Source organism: Homo sapiens, chromosome 2, assembly GCF_000001405.40.
Source record: "Homo sapiens chromosome 2, GRCh38.p14 Primary Assembly".
NCBI classification, from domain to species: domain Eukaryota; kingdom Metazoa; phylum Chordata; class Mammalia; order Primates; family Hominidae; genus Homo; species Homo sapiens.
The window spans coordinates 161,726,487-161,747,350 of record NC_000002.12 but is presented as its reverse complement, the minus strand read 5'-3'; the positions used below and the strand labels follow the sequence as shown (position 1 = coordinate 161,747,350).

At 37.6% G+C, this 20,864-nt stretch overlaps 1 protein-coding gene across 25 annotated transcripts in view, besides 1 other annotated feature; it reads right to left on the bottom strand.

Annotated features, from left to right (window-relative positions):
- Nucleotides 1–20,864, bottom strand: part of SLC4A10 (solute carrier family 4 member 10) — a 360,855-nt gene that overhangs the window by 237,920 nt on the left and 102,071 nt on the right. The gene's annotated exons all lie outside the window — the stretch shown is intronic.
- Nucleotides 261–761: an enhancer, noted in NCBI's record as "H3K27ac hESC enhancer chr2:162603100-162603600 (GRCh37/hg19 assembly coordinates)". NCBI's record gives its function as "activates a minimal SCP1, AML or CMV promoter by ChIP-STARR-seq in naive H9 embryonic stem cells {active_cell/tissue: H9 hESC(naive)}" and the evidence as "EXISTENCE:reporter gene assay evidence [ECO:0000049][PMID:30033119]".

Genomic DNA, 20,864 nt, shown 5'->3' with positions numbered 1-20,864 from the left:
GAACACAGTGCTGCCCTGTCACAGCAGAAAACAACACAAGGCGGAATTTGGCCAGCACCCACAGAGAGAACATTTAGACCAGCCCTAGCCAGAAGGGAATTGTCCATCTCTGCAGTCTGAACCTGAATTCTGGCTAGCCCCACCACTGTGGGCTAATGTGCTTTGGGCTCCTAAATAAACTGGAAAGGCAGTCTAGGCTACAAGGGCTGCAATTCCTAAGCAAGTCCTGGTGCTGTGCTGGGCTCAGAGCCAGTAGGTTTGGGGTGCATGTAACCCACTGAGACACCAGCTGTGGCAGCCAAGGGAATGCTTGTGTCACTCCTCCCCCAAATCCAGGCATCACAGCTTGAAGCTCTGGGAGGAGAGGGAAGAGTAAAGAGGACCTCGGCTTGCAACTGCGATACCAGCTCAGCTACAGCAAAATAAAACACTAACCAGAGTCCTGAAACCCCCATTCCAGGCCGTAGCTTCTCGACAACATTTCTAGAGTGACTCGGACCCAGAAGGAAACCCATTGCCCTGAAAGTAAGGACCCAGACCTGGAATTCATCACCTGCTGACTAAAGAGTGCTTGGGCCTTGAATAAACAACAGCAGAAGCCAGGTGGCAGTTTCCTTAGGCCTTAGGCAAGACCCAGTACCATGCTAGCTTCAGGTGTAACCCAGCACATTCCCAGCTGTGGTGGCAACAGGGAGATACTTCTTCTGCTGAGGAAAGGGGAAAGAAGAGTAAAAGGGACTTTGGTAACTTGGGTACCAGCTCAGCCACAGTAAAATAAAGCACGAAGCTGACTCCTAAAGTCACCAATTCCAGGTATCAGCTCCTAGAGGACATTTCAACACCTGCCACAGACAGAAGGAACCTGCGCCCTGAAGTGAGAGACCTAGGCCTGGCAGAATTTACGACCTGTTGACTAAGTAGTCCTTGGGCCTTGAATAAACATCAGCAGTAGTCGTGCAGTAGTCATCACAGGCCTGGGGTAGTGGTGGCCACAGGAAGAGACTCATTCTGCTTGAGGAAAGGAAAGGGAAAAGTAAAGAGGACTTTTGTCTTGCAGCCTGGGTACCAGCTCAGCCCCAGTAAAATAAATCACCAGGGATATTCCTAAACCTCCAAACCCAGGCCCTAACTCCTGGATGGCATTTCTAGATCCACCATGGGTCAGAAGGGAACATGCTGCACTGAAAGGAAAGAGCCAGTCCTGGGAAGATTCATCACCTACTTACTAAAGAGCTCTTAAGCCTTGAACAAACATCAGCAGTAGTCAGGAAATAGTCACCACAGGGCTTGGTGAGAGACCCAGTACTGCGCTGGCTTCAGAGGTGACCCAACAAGATTCCAGCAGTGGTGGCCATAGGAGTGCTTGAATCACTTCTCCTTCAACTTTAGGCAGCTCAGCCTAAGGTTGTGAGAGAAACTCCATTTGTTTGTGGGAAAGTAAGGGAAGAGAACAAGAGACTCTGCCTGGTAGTCCAGGGTATTTTCTGAGATTTTACACAACACCACCAAGGCAGTACCTCTTTTAGTCTGCAAGAGCCACCGTGTTACCAAGCTTGGTGTTTCCCCTAATGCAGATATGGCTACAGCAATTGCAGACTTAGATTACAACCCTTAATTCACTTTGAATAATTGGAAAGGCTTCTCAAAAAGAAAGGGAACAAACAAGACCAGACTGGGAAGATTAGAATAAATACATAACTCTTCGACACCCAGACATCAATAAATATCCCAAGCATTAAGACCATTCCAGAAAATGTGACCTTACCAAGAGAACAAAAGAAGGCACCAGTGACCAATTCCAGAGTGACAGAGATATATGACTCTTCAGACAGAGAATTCAAAAGAGCTGTTTTCAGGAAGCTCAATGAAATGCAAGCTAACACAGAGAAGGAATTCAGAATCCTATCAGATAAATTTAACAAAAAGATTGAAATAATTAAAAAGAATTAAGGAAGAATTCTGGAGCTGAAAAATTCAAGTGACAAACTGAAGAACACGAGAGTCTCTCAACACCAGAACTGATCAAGAAGAAGAAAGAATCAGTGAGCTTGAGACAGCTTATTTGTAAATACACAATCAGAGGAGTCAGAAGATGAAAAAATAAAAAATAATGAAGCACACCTACTGGATCTAGACTATAGCCCCAAAAAGGCAAATCTAAGAGTTATTGACCTTAAAGAGAAGGTAGCGAGAGAGATTGGCATAGAAAGTGTATTCAAAGAGATGATAACAGAGAACTTTCCAAACCTAGAGAAAAATATCAATATTCAAATAAAAGAGAAATAAAGACTTTCCCAGACAAAGTTGGGGGATTTTTGTCAACACAAGACTTGTCATGCAAAAAATTACTAAAGGGAATTCTCCAATCTGAAAGAAAAAGATGTTAATGAGCAACAAGCAATCACCTAAAGGTACAAAACTCACTGGTAACAGACAAATACAGGATATTACAACACTGTAATTGAAGTGTGTAAATTACTTATATCTTGAGTAAGAAGACTAAAAGATAAACCTATCAAAAATAAAACTACAATATCTTTTTAAGACATAGATGACATAGTAAGAAATAAATAGAAACAACAAAAAGTTAAAAAGCAAGGAGGATGAAGTTCAAGTGTGGAGTTTTTATTAGTTTTCTCTTTGCTTTTCCTTTTTTTGTTTGTTTGCGTTTACAGTCAGAGTTAAGTTGTCATCCATTGAAAATAATGGGTTATAGATGTTATTTACAAGCCTCATAGTAGCTTTAAATAAAAAATCCTACAACAGATACAAAAACAAATATAAAGCAAAAAATTAAAACATACCACCAAAATACTGGCAAATCCAATTTAACAATACATTATAAAGTTCATCCATCATGACCAATTGGTATTTATCCCAGGGATGCAGCAATAGTTCAACAAATGCAAATTGATCAATGTGATACATCACATATCAACAAAGAGAAGGACAAAAACTATATGATCATTTCAATCGATACTGAAAAAGAATTTGATTAAATTCAGCATCCCTTCATGTTAAGAATCCTCAAAAAACCTGGGTATAGAAGGAACATACCTGAACACAATAAAAGCCATATATGGCAGACCCACATCTAGTATCATACTACATGGGGAAAAATTGAAAGCCTTTTTTCTAAGATGTGAAACATGACAAGGATGCCCACTTTGACTGCTGTTGTTCACCATAGTACTGGAAGTCCTAGCTAGAGCAATCAAGCAAGAGAAAGAAATAAAGTCCATCCAAATTGGAAAGGAATAAATAGAATTATCCTTCTTTGCAGATTATTTTATACTTGGAAAGAAAGTAAAGACTCCACAAAAAAAGCCTACTAGAGCTGATTTAAAAAATTCAGGAAAGTTGCAGGACATAATCAACATAAAATATCAGTAGTTTTTCTGTATGCCAACAACAGACAAACTGAAAAAGAAATCAAGAAAGTAATCCCATTTAAAATAGCTACAAATAAAATATCAAGGAATAAACTTCATCAAAGAGGTAAAAGATTTCTACAATTAAAAAGACAAAACATTGAAGCAAGAAATTGAAGAGGACACACACAAAATGGAAAGATGTTCCATGTTCATGTATTGGAAGAATCAATGTTATTAAAATGTCCTCACTACCCAAAGCAATCTATAGATTTAATGCAATCCCTATCAAAATACCAATGACATTCTCCACAGAAATAGAAAAAAAAATCCAAAAATGTATATGGAACCATAAAAGACCAAGAATGGTCAGAGCTGTCCACAGCAAAAACAAACAAACAAACAAACAAAAAAAACTGGAGGAATCACATTACCTGACTTCAAATTATATTATAGAGCTATAGTAACCAAAACAGTGTGGTACTGACATAAAAATAGCCACATAGAGCAATGGAACAGAATAGAGAACCCAAACATAAATCCATACATCTACAGTGAACTCATTTTTGATAATGGTGCCAAGAACATACATTGGAGAAAGGACAGTCTCTTCAATAAATGGTGCTGGGAAAACTGGATATTCTTATGTAGAAGAATAGAACTAGACCCCTATCTCTTGTCATATACAAAAATCAAATCAACATGGATTAAAGACTTAAATCTAATACATGAAACTATGAAACTACTAAAAGAAAACATTGTGGAAACTCTCCAGGACATCAGTCTGGGCAAAGATTTCTTGAGTGATACCCAAAAAGCACAGGCAACCAAAACAGGTAATACACAAATGGGATCACATCAAGTTAAAAAGCTTCTGTACAGCAAATAAAACAATCAACAAAGTGAAGAGAACAACCCACAGAATGGGAGAAAATATTTGCAAACTATCCACCTGACAAAGTATTAATAACCATAATATATAAAGAGCACAAACAACTCAATAAAAAAAATCTAATAATCTAATTTTAAAATGGGCAAAAGATCTAAGTAGACATTTCTCAACAGAAGATACAAATGGCAAACAGGTATGTAAAAAGACACTCAACATGACTGATTATCAGAAAAATGCAAATGCAAACCAAAAGTATGATGAGATATCATGTCATCCCGGTTAAAATGGCTTTTATCCAAAATACAGGCAATAACAAATGCTAGCAAGGATGTATAGAAAGGAGAACCCAGCTGGGCACCATGGTTCATGCCTGTAATCCCAGCACTTTGGGAGGCAGAGGCAGGAGGATCACTTGAGGTCAGGAGTTTGAGACCAGACTGGCCAACATGGTGAAACCCCATCTCTACTAAAAATACAAAAAAAGCCAGGTCTGGTGGCGTGCACTTGTAACCTCAGCTACCCAGGAGGCTGAGGCAGGAGAATCCCTTGAACTCAGGAGGCAGAGGTTGCAGTGAGCCGAAATCAGCGACTGCACTCCAGCCTGGGCGACAGTGCGAGACTCAGTCTCAAAAAAAAAAAAAAAAAAAAGAAAGAAAGAAAGAAAGAAAAGAAAAAAGAAAGGAGAACCGTATGCAGGTTTCCCAGAAAACTAAAAATAGAATTACCATATGATGCAGCAACCTCACTGCTATGTATAAACCCAAAAGAAAGGAAATCAGTATATTGAAGAAGTATCTGCAATCCCATGTTTATTCCAGCATTAGTCACAAAACAAGATTTCAAATCAACCTGTGTCCATCAACAGATGACTGGATAAAGAAAATGTGGTATATATACACAATGGAGAACTATTCAGCCATAAAAAAGAATGAGATCCTGTGAATTGATGCAATATGGATGGAACTTGAGAACATTGTTAAGTGAAATAAGCCAAGCATAGAAAAATAAACTTCACATGTTCTCACACATTTATGGGAGCTAAAAATTAAAATCATTGAACTCATGGAGATAGAGAGGAGAATGATAGCTACCAGAGGCTGGAAAATGTAGTAGGTAAGGGGAAAGGTGGAATGAAGATGGTTAATGGGTATAAAAATGTAGTTAGATACAATGAATAAGACCTGGTATTTGATAACACAACAGGGTGACCAGTCAGCAATAATTTGTTGTGCGTTTTAGAATAATGAGAGAGTACAATTGGAATGTTCGTAATACAAAGAAATGATGAATGCTTGAGGCAATGGATATTCCATTTACGCTGATGTGCCAAATACACATTGTATACCTGCATCAAAATACCTCATGTACCCCATAAATATATACACCTATTATGTACCCATAAAAATTAAAAATAAAAAAAATTTAAAGGAGATCCTGCCATTTGTGACAACACAGATGAACCTGGAGTACATTGTGCTAGGTAAACACCAGACACAGAAAAATACTGCATTTTTACACTTAAATGTAGAATCTTTTTAAAAAGTCAAACTCACAGAAACAGCATTACAGAATGGTGGTTATGGGAGTGGGGCTGGGCAGGAAGAAGTGGGGAGATGTAGGTCAAATGGAACAAACTTGCAGTTATGTAAGATGAATAATAAGTCTAGAGATTTAATGTAGAGTATGACTAAAGTTAATAATATTGTATTGTACACTGAAATTTTGCTAACAGTAGAGTTTAGGTGCTTTTTTTTTTAGCGGAGCCTTCGATAGCTCAGTTGGTAGAGCGGAGGACTGTAGTGGATAGGTGCTTTTTTTTTTTTTTTTTTGAGAGTCTTTCTCTGTAACACAGGCCGGAGTGCAATGGCATGATCACGGCTCACTATACCTCCATCTCCAGGCTCCAGGAATCCTTCCACTTCAGCCTCCCAAGTAGCTGGAACTTCAGGTGCCCACTACAACACTTTGCTAATTTTTTGTGGAGACACGGTTTCAGCATGTTGTCCAGGCTGGTCTTGAACTCCTGGACTCAAGCAATTTGCCTGCATTGGCCTGCCAAGGATTACAGGTGTGAGCCATTGTACCTGGCCGTTTAGGTGCTTTTGCCACACACAAAAAAGAGGTAACTATTTGAAGTGAGGGATATTCGTGAATATGTTAATTTGCTTGACCGTAGTAAGCATTTCACTATGTATATTAAAACATCTTAATATATCTTAAACATATATAGATATTGTCCCTGACTGGGCACCTAAAACATATACAGAAATTGTATCTAAGGAATGTTTTCACTACCTAGTATCATAAAACAGCAAGCATGTAAATCTGCCCTTTAAGCTATATTAATTGGAGATGCTAAAAGGGAATGAGTAAGATTTCCAAGACCACATAGTGAAGAATAAAAGTTGGAATGCTAGAATGAAGAAATTCTCTGTGCCATAGGCCTATGTGGAGCCTAGGCCTAAGCTTATAGCAAAAGCCTATGAGCACCTCCCAGTAACAACTCCTGGGATTTTGGACTAGAGAATTTCCATTTGAGGGGCATTTAATACCTTGCTATCAAACATTAATTAGAGCTACCCCTATGAATGAAGTACATAAAATAATCTTGAAACCAGAAATACCCATGCTGTCTTGGGTGATGTCAGAGAAATACTCTAATGGGAATGACAGTGCCCAGAAGAGTTCCATAATAAAATGGAAATGGTCTATATAGGTTCATGCTACCTGGGAATGCAAGGAAGTGATACAAGCAGGGAGCTAGAACTGACTCTGGACTTGTGTACTAGGACTGACTCTGGAATTGTGTGAGGAGCTGATGGATTCTACAGTGCCCTATAAGTACCTTTCAACTGACCAATTAAGAGCTGCTTAGTTTGTGGATAGGAGTTCCAAGGTGAACAGACAACATATTATTTGGAAGGATGCTACTGATCAAAGAAGTTAAAAACAAATCAGCTCAGTGGGCTGAACTGCACGCTGTTTTCTAGCAGTATGAAAGAATTGAACATCAAAACCCTGGTAAAAGCCTGTCTTTGGCTTTTTACTGACTTGTGGGCAGTAGCCAATGGCCTGGTCATACACTCAGGCAAGAGGATGCTGGGAACCTGGCCTATTGAAGGGATGCCCATATAAGGCATGACCCTATGGAAATTTGAGAGGTTCATTAAAGCAGAACATGTCCATTGAAAGAGCCCCTTCCAGGATTAAAAGTCAAGCAGCTATCAGCAGGTGCTAATTTAAGGTGGCCACCTGAGTCCATGAAATGGGGGTACTGCAATAATGCAGAGATGAGCTCAATCCAAGTATGTTCCTTTTGCAACTTTTCAAGCACATAATGCCAATAAGAACTGTTCTGTCTGCCAGCAAAAGACACAGAGACTGCTTATGGCTATGGGGCTACACTCCTATTGGGGAAGCCCTAAACACAGTTGGTAGGTGAGATTGATGCCGGTAAGTATGGGGGTGCTAAAAATGGATCTTGATAGGAGTAGTCACTGATTCTGGACTGGGCTTTGCTTACCTGGTAGAAGATGCAAATGTTCAGAGTGCTATTAAAAACACAGATAATATTACACAATTTGGATGGCCAACCATATGTCTTTAGACATACGGAACCAAGGAACACACTGTACAGCCCATAATGTCCCATAGTAGGCAAGAAAATCTCCTCCTAGAGTAGTAGTTTGATAGAGAAGTGAAATGGGAAATTAAAACATTGGTTGGCCAAAATAGGAGGCGATAAAAGCATGAAAGACTAGCTTACATGCCTTCAAAAGTGTGTGCTCACACTCAACAGGAGTGGGATTAAAAGAGTGTTCCCACTAGATTTTCCTCCATTTTTCTGGTTAATCTGGATAAAAGAGGGTAGCGAAGGATGCAAGTATGACTATGCAATTCTTATCAAGGAAGGAGGATGCTAGTATAATGATGTTACTGTTTTTCTTTCCTCCCCATATCATGTTCCCCCCACCCACCCACTTGATGCAGTGGTCCTAGGGCCAAGGATCAACTACAGTTTGTGGAAACATAAATTATTCCTAAAAAAGAAAGTGTAACTGTGTTTTTAAATCTTATGCTAGAATTCCTGAGGGCCTGATAGAGGTGGGTTTATATCTTCACCCCATCTGGCAAAATTGGGGCTAAAAGTGAATGTAGCTATATATTGCCTGAGAGTGAAGATGGCCCAATAGTTCTGCACTTACATAACCTTGCCCTATCTAAATGGGAGTGGACTAAGAGGGAGGCATTTGCTAGACTGATACTGCTGTTTGCAGTCTAGACAAGCACAGTGGCTAAACCTAATGTCCTCTCCAAAGGTGGAAAAGTTTGGCTACAAATGAAGAGAAAAAAGAATAGAAGCTGAGGGTAAAGGAATGACTAAACGAGTAAGGAATTAAGGGAAATCCAATATTACAGTAACACTTGTTAAATCAGGTTTAGCCTAAAGCTTCCTTCTTGTAGGTTTGGCCTAAAAATTTCTCCATACATAGTGAACTGTAACCTAACTGGACATGTAAACAAACTATATAATCTGTTCTTGTACAAATCACAAAGTTTTGGCCAATCACAGGCAGACAACTGTTCAAATAATACAAACACCAAACTATAACTAATGCAGATGTTTCTCTACCTTACTTCCATTTTCTGAGCAACATTTTCTGTTTTCTGTCCATAAATCCTCTCCAACCATGAGACAGTGCTGGAGTCTCTCTAAATCTACTCTGGTTCAGAGGCCTGCCCAATTTGTTAATTGTTCTTTGCTAAATTAAATCCTGTTAAATATAATTTGCCTAAAGTTTTTAACAGTCAGTGTCAGAAGTGGGATCCCAAGTAGAGCTTCTAGTGACCCCCAGGATCATCAAGTAACAAAAAGAAGTACCTTCCAGCCCATTTTGTCCATTGGTTTCTTACAGTGCTTGGGGATCATAAATAAGTTCTCTCTCAAATTCTGAAGCACCACAGATTTGTGTTTTGGGCTGTCCATGGTTGTTTGAACAATTTTTTTTAATCCAAACTTGTTCAGAAGTCACAACAGAAACTGGTCTGGATCCAGGATCAGAATAAACCTGAAAACTAACTGACCTGGATCCAGTTAGAGGCCTCAAATGTCTGACTAGGTCAGGCAGAAACTGAGAGTAAATAGAAATGCTGCAGAATGTGCCAACTCTGGCTTTCAGAAATTCATGTTTTTCGTGTTCTATCCCCTTTGTTTCTTTTCCTTGCATGTTTAGGTGGGGAAAAAATCATTGACTAAGTAGATCAAGGAGATCTGAGAACCAAAGCAAATAACCTTATTTCTAAAGAACTCTACCCACTCTACCTACCAGCTACACCTATGTTTACATGCATATTAGGCCTCAAAAGCAGCAAATGCTTATAGAAATTGAAAAAGCTTACTAAAGTAATTTAAAATTACAGTAGAACATTCCAAATGAACACTGTACTTGTAAAAGTACATTTTTAAATGAGGGCTCCTGAATTAGGCCCATGAAGGAATGCCTATTGATGTAGAAAAGCTTCTAAAAAGATTTTAATATTTTTATTCTTTATTTTTTTAAAAGACTTTATGAAAGACAAATAAAAATCTCAAGTGATTAATTAATAAGAAAAACTACATCCACTAAACATTTGGCTGTTACTACCCAATGACAAAAAAAAAAAGCTATTCTGTATAAAGTATTTATAAAAAGTAGGCTTTCTTCTTTTTCAAAGCTATCTATGCTGAGTCCAGACATAGAGAATCGTTTCTTTACCCTATTCCCTGATGGGTTCCAAACTGAACTCAGTAATTTTAACTAAAAGGCAAAAACTAAGTTAAAAAGACCACCTATTAAACTAAATCAGTGTTCAAAGTACACCCTTCTAACATTTAGCTGGCTATATGAAAACCCTTTTGTAAAAAAATTTACATTTATAGAGAAAATTTTGCCAGGCATGGTGGCTCACACTTGTGATCAAAGCACTTTGGGAAGCTGAGGTGGGAGGATCTCTTGAGCCCAGGAGTTTAAGACCAACCTGGGTAACACGGTGAGACACTGTCTCCATGGAAAAAAAAAAATCACTGGGCATGGTCGTGCATACCTGTAATTCCAACTACTCTGGAGGCTGAGGTGAGAGGATCACTTGAGCCCATGAGGTCAAGGCTGTAGTGAACAATGATTGTGCCACTGCACACTGCACTCCAACCTGGGTGACAGAGTGAGACCCCTGTCTCAATAATAACAATAATAATAATAATACTTCCATTTATAAGGATGTTTAAGAGAGATGACTGAGTGACTAGAAACTCTTACAATTGTTTTAAATTTACATAACAAGTCTGATATGGTTTGGCTGTGTCCCCACCCAAATCTCATCTTGAATTTTAGTTCCCATGATCCCCATGTGTCATGGGAGGGACCTAATGAGAGATAATTGAATCATGGTGGAGGTTACCCCCATTCTTTTCTCATGATCGTGAATGAGTTCTCACAAGATCTGATGGTTTTATAATGGGCTTTTCCCCCTTTGCTCAGCACTTTTCTTTCCTGCTACCTTGTGAAGAAGGATGCATTTGTTTCCCCTTCCACCATGACTGTAAGTTTCCTGAGGCCTCCCCAGCCATGCAGAACTGTGAGTCAATTAAGCCTCTTTCCTTTATAAATTACCCAATCTCAGATTTTTCTCCATAGCAGTGTGAGAAAGGACTAATACAAAGTCTTACATTTGTTTAATGAGCTTTTTCTGGTCATTTTGTCTTAACTGGGATTTTATATAAAAACTTTTTCTTTGATTTGAGCAAATAATAGCACAATATTTAGGCCTGAAGTCTCAGCTCTGTGCTTTCAAGGTACAGATTTTTTATCTTGTTTCATGTAAGAGTCATTGCTTTAAAAACAAATTATTGCCTATCAATTACTTAGGGCAATAAAACAGATAAATAAAAGATTAATCATCTAAAAAGAAAAAATATATATTTAAAAGCCAATTAATAAAAATTCTTTATAAAAACTATAAAATCTATTTTTGTCTATGTCTCTATGTATTATGTATACATAAAACTTGATAAATAAAGCTAGTTTTAAATTGTTATTATGACGAAATACAAATGACTTCAAAATTGTCAGTTAAATATAATTCAGACATTTTGTCTGCATATACTGGTCAGACAATTTTATACTACCTCTGATACATGTTTTAAAGTCATGAAACTACTACTTCTTTAATATTTTTGATACTTAATTTGACTGTAAGCTTATATTTTTAGTTTTGAACCTCTAGATTTTGAGGTCTGATAGTTGGCCATGGTAAGATCTGGGGACATGTCCTCAGTGCTTTGATCACCAGCTAAAGGACAGAGTCAAGCCGAGTATGGCACTTCTTCCTGGGATTAGCTTTGGTTCCTGGCCATTCTACGAAGGGTTGGATCCTTCAGACATCATCTTCATAGCTGTCTTCTGTCCTGAGTTCTACACCTGGTATATAAACTTGGCACCCAGATGGGCCCTGCCCTTCATAGCTGTCCTGGATGCCATATAGTTATTTAAGACCCAGCATGACTGGGGAAGGCATTAGGAAGGGTACTTGTGTCATATTTTCAAAATTATTTTCAGTAACTTAAAATCCTAAGATCATATTGTATTAAATTAAGTAATAGATAATCATGAAATGTCTGAGTCATTTATAAGTAAAAATATTAAAACATTAATTATCAAAAATAAATTTAAGTTTATGTACTTTGACATTTATTTTTAAATGGTATAAAAACCTAAATATATTTAGATTTGCTAATGAAAAAGAATTTTTTAATATGTCTTTCTAAAAACTTATAAGATGGTTTTCATCTACAAATACTAATATAAAACAGTTCAAAATTACTTACTTCCTATGTTTTCACTAAAAAGTAAGGTTACTAAGAGTTAAAATTTTAATTAATATATGTATATTATATATATGTATAATATATATATTTTTTCATACTACTATAAAGATACTACCTGATACTGGGTAATTTAAAAAGAAAAGAGGTTTAATTGACTCACAGTTTCTCATGGCTTGGGAGGCCTCAGAAAACTTACAATCAGGCAGAAGTTTAAAGGGAAGCAAGGCACATCTTACATGGTGGCAAGAGAGAGAGAGGAGAAACTGCCACAAACTTTAAAACCATCAGACCTCATGAGAACTCCCTCACTATCATGAGAAGAGTATGTGGGAAACCACCCCCATGATCCAATCACTCTTACCAGGTCCCTCCCCTGACACATAGAGGTATTAATACAATTCAAGATATGATTCGGGTGGAGGCACAGAGCCAAACAATATCAATATGTAATTAAAACTACCAAATATCAGAAAAAAAATATATATACAGAGTATATAAAGAGAAACAAGATATGTTTTTGGTAAACGAAAAGTTATAAAGACATAAAATGAGTATTTATTTTAAAACTAATTGTGTCTCGTTTAAAAGTTACTTTAAGATAATTTCAAATAAAAAATAGATAAAACTAGATTTAAAGAGTACAAAATAAATGAATACATTTTGTATTAGTTCATTTTCATGCTGCTGATAAAAACATACCCGAGACTGGGAAGAAAAAGAGGTTTCATTGGACTTACATATCCACATGGCTTGGGAGGCCTCAGAAGCATGGTAAGAAGTAAAAGGCACTTCTTACATGGCAGTGGCAAGAAAAAATGAGAGAGATGCAAAAGCAGCAACCCCTGATAAAACCATCAGATCTCATGAGACTTATTCACTACCACGAGAACAGTAGTAGGGAATGTGCCCCCATGATTCAAATGATCTCCCACAGGGTCCCTCCCACAACACATAGGAATTATGGGAGTACAATTCCAGATGAGATTTGGGTGGGAACACAGGGCCAAACCATATCATTCCACCCCTGGCCCCTCCAAATCTCATGTCATCACATTTCAAAACCAATCATGCCTTCCCAACAGTTCCCTAAAGTCTTAATTCATTTCAGCATTAACCCAAAAGTCCACAGTCCAAAGTTTCACCTGAGACAAGGCAAGTACCTTCTGCTTATGAGCCGTAAAATCAAAAGCAAGCTAGTTACTTCCTAGATACAATGGGGTACAGGTATTGGGTAAATACAGCTGTTCCAAATGGGAGAAATTGACCAAAACAAAGGTTTTCCAGGGTCCATGCATGTCCAAAATCCATCAGGGCAGTCAAATCATAAAAATCCAAATTGATCTCCTTTGACTCCATGTCTCACATCCAGGTCACGCTGATGCAAGAGGTAGGTTCCCATAGTCTTGGGCAGCTCCACCCCTGTGGCTTTGCAGGGTACAGCCTCCCTCCTGGCTGCTTTCACGGGTTGGCATTGAGTGTCTGTGGCTTTTCTAGGCACACTGCGCAAGCTGCCAAATTGGCCAGCTCAAATCTCTTCTTGAATTGTACTCCCATAATCTACTATTCTGGGATCTGGAGGATAGTGGCTCTCTTCTCACAGCTCCACTAGGCAGTGCCCCAGTAGGGACTTGGGTGGGGGCTCCAACCCCACATTTCCCGTCTGCACTGCCCTAGCAAAGGTACTCCATGAGAGCCCTGCCCCTGTAGCAAACTTCTGCTTAGTCATCCAGGCATTTCCATGCATCCTCTGAAATCTAGGCAGAGGTTCCCAAACCTCAATTCTTGACTTTTGTGCACCTGCAGGCTGAACACCATGTGGAAGCTGCCAAGGCTTGGGGCTTGCACCATCTGAAGCCATGGCCTGAGAGCTATGTTGGCCCCTTTCAGCCATGGCTGGAGTGGCTGGAACGCAGGGCATGAAGTCCCTAGGCTGCATACAGCTTGGGAACCCTGGGACAGCCCACGAAACCACTTTTTCCTCCTAGGCTTCTGAGCCTGTGATGGGAGTGGCTACCATAAAGACCTCTGACATGCCCTGGAGATATTTTCCCCATTGTCTTGGGGATTAACATGCGGCTCCTCATTACTTATGCAAATTTATGCAGCCTGCTTGAATTTCAAAATGGAATTTTTCTTTTCTATCTCAATGTCAGGCTGCAAAATTTTGAAACTTTTATGCTCTGTTTCCCTTTTAAAACTGAATGCTTTCAACGACACCCAAGTCACCTTTTGAATGCTTTGCTGCTTAGAAATTTATTCCACCAGGTACCCTAAATAATCTCTTTCAAGTTCAAAGTTTCAGAAATCACTAGGGCAGGGGTAAAATGCCGCCAGTCTCTTTGCTACAACATAACAAAGAGTCACCTTTGCTCCAGTTCTCAACAAGTTCCTCATCTCCATCTGAGACCACCTCAGCCTGGACCTTATTGTCTATATTGCTATCAGCATTTTGGGCAAAACCATTCAACAAGTCTCTAGGAAGTTCCAAACTTGCCCACATTTTCCTGTCTTCTTCAGCCCTCCAAACTGTTCCAACTTCTACCTATTACCCAGTTCCAAAGTTGCTTCAACATTTTGAGCTCACTCCTGCTTTCGGGATGTGATAAGATCAATGGAAGCCTGCAAACTTGAATAGCCTTGCTCTGGGAGACATACTCATAAAATATGATGATGTACTGTTCTAAGTATTAGTGACTGAATGGAAATCTAGCAATGTGTCAGTATCTTTTAAGTTGTACATTCTTTTACTGTAAGGGATCTGTGTTTGAAGACTAGGGGGTGGATTGTGACATGGTAAAATATATAGTTGGTCTTTGTCTCTTGCATACAACTCCAAAAATCCTTGGACTCTCCAAAATGGGGAATCTTTTTGTATGCTAATGAGCTAACTAATGGCTGGCAACCCTTAGGTAGCTTCAGGATGGAGGCTAGTCACTGGAAAGACCAAGGCAGAATTAGAGGGTTGGACTTTCAGCTCCACCCCCCAACCTCTGGGGAGTAAACAGATGCCAAAGGTTAAGTTGATCACCAATTGCCAATGATTTACTCAATTATGGCTAGTAATGAAGCTCCCATAAAAACTCCAAAAAACAGGGATAAGGGTGTTTCTGAATAGCTGAGCACTTGGAGCTTCTTGAAGAGCACTGCATCTGGAGAGGGCATGAAAGCTCTGCACTCTTTTCCATGCCTTGCCCTACGCATCTCTTCATTGGTATCTTTTGCCATATCCTTTGTAATAAACTGGTAAATATAAAGGAGTCATGTCATACACCTTAAATATATACAATAATTAATTAATAAGAAATCAGAGAATATAAGTAACTTTTCAATATTGTCTGCATTACTGATTTGATATGTGTCTAATTCTGATTTTAAACTATATTCAGGGAATTTTGACAGGAAAACAGCCCAGAAAGAGTAAAAAATTTAAAAATAAGATGTAAATTTTAAGTCATGTATAATCTCATGGGTTAAGCTTGTAACCCATCAAAAAACAGAGATTATAATGAAAGAAACAAATTATAGGACTGATTCATTCCATTCATCATATTAGATCTCTTGACACCTATTCACCTAAATTTACTTTCTGAGTAATAAGTTAAACTAATTTTAGTTTAAATTAAAGCTGTAAGCATCTATTATTTTCCTACTTTCATTTTTGTCAAAGTTACATATGTCTGTAAATTTAAAAGTCAAATAGTTTCACAGTGTTGCTATGAAGAAAACTGTCCCTACAATTCTTCCTCCCTAAAAGTAACTACTTCCAATTCTTGTGTCTAATGTTTAAAATTTACTTACTAAAGAGCACTAAATAACATGTGTTTATTGTTATTTATCTTTGAATATATAGATGTTAAGCTATAAATTTTCCTCTAAACATGACTTTAGCAGCATTGCAAAAGTTTTCCCCCCTAAATATAACATTTTAACAAGCATTATAAAAAAATAGAGGAAAATATTCAAAAGACCAGTGGTACACTGAACCCATGAAGTCAGATAAATTCAACTACCTAATTATTTTTAAAAAGAGATTCTCATTTAATCTGTGGAGAACTCATGCATTCACATTTACTCTCAGAATACCTACCATGTGCCAGGCATTCAATGATTTTATAAAAAGAAAAACAATACTTTTTCTTTCACTGAAGTCGTTGTTGGATTGTTCAAACAAGCAAACTAGTACAATTTCAATTCAAAACAACATTTATTAAATGACTAGAAATGTACATCTTCATGATTCACCAATTGTTATTGGAATTAGGATCTCATTGTTGTTATCTAACTGTAAATACTATAGGTCAACCTGCAAAAGAGAAATAAAAATAATATCAGCTACTTCTTACGTGGTTAACTTCAGAGCTCTTTACCAGTTGTTATGAATATGGTTTAACATTAGGTTCAATAGTGTAATGGATAATCTATGAAAAACAAAATTTGCCTTGAGATGTGGTTCTGATTATATTTCACTGACACTAGTTCTTCCTTTATTTTCCAATGGGAAATTACACTTTTATGCTTTCTGGAAGTACTCTTAGAGGTCATCTAGTCCAATGTCTTACCATATCCAACTACGACACACCTAACTAACCTTTGTTTGAACAAATTCAGGACAGAGACCTAACTACTACACAAGGAAGTCGGCTCTATTTTTGGAAAATTATAATATTCAGAAATATTGTTAGAATGTGAGACCACCTTACATTCTCAGGATTTATCACAAAGAAGATAATGATGATGGTTGATAGATAATAGATAAATAGATAGATAATAGGTTGTTTTATGAGTGAGAGATAATAGATAAATAGACAGATAATAGATTGTTTTATGAGTGAACAAATGAATGGACAAATGAAACCAAAATCTGTCTCCCTATTATTTCAATGCATTTGTTTTATTTTTTTCCCATTCTGAAGCTGTATAACTAATTCTAGTCCTTCCTCTGTTTGATGATATTTTAAATATTTGAAGATAATACTGTTAGTCCTAAGTCTTCTCTTTGTCAAGTACATGTTTAAGTTTCTAATGAGAAAGTATGAATTATGCTCCTCTCCTCTCTGAGACAGAGATAAAAGTGCAACAAAGTAATTAAATTATCAGCTGTTAATTAATTAATGTATTGTTCTGTGAAGTACAGCTTAGACCTGAGGCTAAAATGCTCTTTTCACTCTTTCCTCTTATTTGAGGCGTTTGGATCTACATTTTAGCCTGTTTGGGTTTGCAGAGCATTCAGTAACCCAAGAAGCCTTATCTTGGCCGGCTTTATATTCCAGCAAACCTAATATGGATTTGGGCAGCCACATTAACTCAGTGTTACAAATAAAAGAGGACCAGTGAAAACCAAACTGACGTGGCCTCACCAATCAAATAAGTCACTTCTCATCCTATGGAAAAGACCTAGTGAAAGGTGATGAGAAGGCAACAACAGCTTCCTACTAGAAGTTCCTAATCTGACATGTCTTTTAAACCTTTCCCTGTTTGCATCAACTTCTCTAGAAATTCTAGTTTGCTAACTTTTTTTAACGTAGGACCCAAATCTGAGCACAATTTTTCAGATACAATACTATTCTTAAGGAATAGAGAGGTGTACTTCCTCTGTGAAAAAAAAATTCGCTTTATTTTAAAACTTATAGTCAAACATTTTTGCATTTATTACTATTATAGTGCATCTTACAAATTGTATGATCTTCTCCTACAATTTTTTTTAAAAAAAACTTTTGTGTATATTTCTATAAGTTTTATCACATGTATAGATTCCTATAATCACCATCACAATCAAAATACAGATTAGTTCTATCACCTCAAAAAATTCCTTTATGCTATACCTTTCTGAACACACTTTTTTGTATGTTGATATCTGTGTTTAACCTTGTATCTGGAAACTTTGTTAAACCAGTTTTATGAGTTTGGTTGGGGGAGGCGTTCTTTGTTTTTTAGATTCCTTGGGAGAATTATGTTGTTTGTGGATATAAATGGTTTTATTTATTTCTTTCCAAACTTCATGGTTTTTCTTTCCTTGCCTTGCCTTTTGCATTTGCTAGGTTTTAGTATGATGTTGAATAAGAGTGGTGATATTTGACATCTTTGCCTTATTCCTCATCTTATGTGGAAAGCATTTAGTCTTTCACCATTAAGTGTTACATTAACTGTAGGTTTTGAGGGGTGCCCTTTCAGGTTGAAGAAGTTTCCTTCTATTTATAGTTTCCTGATTTTTTTTTTCTAGAATGAATGTGAAATTTTGTCAAATGCATTTTCTGCCTCAATTAAAATGATCATATGGTTTTGCTTATTCTGTTAATGTGGATTACTTTGCTTGGTTTTCAAATATTGAACCAGCCTTTCATTCCCAAGATAAAACCTAATTGGTCACAATATATTAGTCTTTTCATAGATTTGTGGACTTAATTTGCTAATGTTTTGTTGAAGATATCTGCGTTGATGTTCATGAGGGATATTAGTTTGCACATTTTCTTGTATTGCCTTTGTGTGATTTTGGTATCATGGTTAATTCTGGCTTCATAAAATGATTTGGGAAGTGTCTTTTTTGTCTTCTATTTTCTAGTAGAAATTATGTAGAATTGGCATTATTACTTCATTAATTTTTAAGAGAATTCTCCAGTGAAAAATCTTGGCTAGAATTTTTTTTTTTCCTTTGGACAGGGTCTTCCTCTGTCGCCTAGGCTGGAGTACAGGGCGCGATTTCAGCTCACTGCAACCTCCATTTCCCGGGTTTGAGCAATCTCCTACCTCAGCCTCCCCAGTAGCTGGGACTACAGGGGCACACCACCATGCCCAGCTAATTTTTGTATTTTATGGTAGAGACAGGGTTTCACCATGTTGGTCAGGCTGGTCTTGAACTCCTGACCTCAGATAATTTGCCCACCTTGAGCTCCCAAAATGTTGGGATTACAGGCGTGAGCCACCATGCCATTGTTGGCCTGAATATTTTTATTTTGAACTGTTTTTAACTGTGAATTCAGTTTAGGACTGAATAGTTATAGGACTATTCAATTTATTTCATTTGGGGTGAGTTTTGGTAGTATATAATTTTCAAGAAATTGTTCCATTCATCTAAGTTGACAGATTTATGTACATAGACTTTTCCTAGTATTCCCTTGTTAATACTAAAATGTCTGGAGAGTCTATAGTAATATTCACTCTCTCATTCCTGATATTGGTAATTTGTGTCTTCACTTTCATTTTTATTTATGAGGCTTGATAGAAGTTTGTCAGTTCTTTTTCTCAGAGCTTTTAGAATCTCTTTAATCTCAGTCTTTTGCAATTTGATGATGATGTGCCCTTGGTGTGGTACTATTTTTATTTATTATGCTGTGCATTTGGTGAGCTCTTTAAATCATACACCGGTCCTTTTGTTCTCATAATATTTTAAAATTTGTTGGGATTATTTCTATTTTCTGTTTTCTCTTTCTGGAACTGTTATGTCAGATTTTAGACTTTGTGTCTTCTAATTTTCTCATTCTTTCTATTCTATTTTCCACCTTCCTCTCAATTTTCTTGGAGATTACCTCATCTTTATTTTCCTTTCATTGTGTTTAGTGTTTCACTTCAGCTATCATGTTTTCAATTTCCAAGAACTCTTATTTGTTCTCTCAATGTTCCTGTGTAATAGCACCTTCTTTTTATTTAATAGATTCAGTTTCTTGTCCTCTCTAAGGGTTTTAATGACAAAATTTGGAAAGATTTTTCTCCCATCCTACTCTCTGCTCCCAAAATATTTCTTTTTCCTAATGTATTGGCTTCTATCTTTTATGTTGGAAGTTTTCTTCAGAGATTGCATAATCTTTGGTTATCTGCTCATATTTAAGAGTGTGAACTAAATACTGAAGAAGCCCTGAGAATGTGGATTGAGCTTGTCAACTTTGAGCACACTGTAAAGTATTTGGTTTAGTTGTTTTTTGGGGGGAACACTGATTTCAATATGTTTGGGGCTTTCTTCTTGAGCTGGTTAGATTCCACAGGGAAGGATCCTGCAATATCCTGCCTGGTAACTGAAGGCCTGGCTGCCAGCTCTAGGAATAAGATGAAGGAATAGAGTTGATATTGCAGCTTTCTCACTGAATCCATCTGTTCTTAAGATAGTGTTTTCCACCTTTAACTGTACCTGGGTTACATAGTCCAAAGCAAATTTGAATAACCCTCTCCAGTGAATAAAATTCCAGTATTCTGCTGGAGTAGGGGTGGGAGATTTGCATGGCTATCTGAAGTGAGGAGAAAGAGTATTTGGAAGTGTGATTAACTTTTAATCCAATACTCTTTTTTAAACAACTTGAGTCTCTTTGTTTGTTTGTTTGCTTTTTGAGACAGAGTCTTGCTCTGTTGCCCAGGCCAGAGTGCAGTGGCACAGTCTCGGCCCACTGCAGCCCCCACCTCCTAGGTTCAATTGATTCTCCTGCCTCAGCTTCCCAAGTAACTGGGATTACAGGCATGTGCCACCACACCTAGTTAAATTTTGTATTTTTAGTAGAGTTGAGGTTTTACCATGTTGGCCAGGCTGGTCTCCAACTCCTGACTGCAAATGATCTGCCTGCCTCGGCCTCCCAAAGTGCTGGGACTACAGGTGTGAGCCACCGCACCCGGCGAATTCTCTCTTACAAAGGTACCTGGTGCCTTTTCAGGTTGTGTCACTGTAAATTGGATTGGATTTCAGCTTTTGCCACTGCCAATTTATAATTCTGATTTCTCAGTGGGCCAAGACACTTAACATTTTCATTCTGCCTTT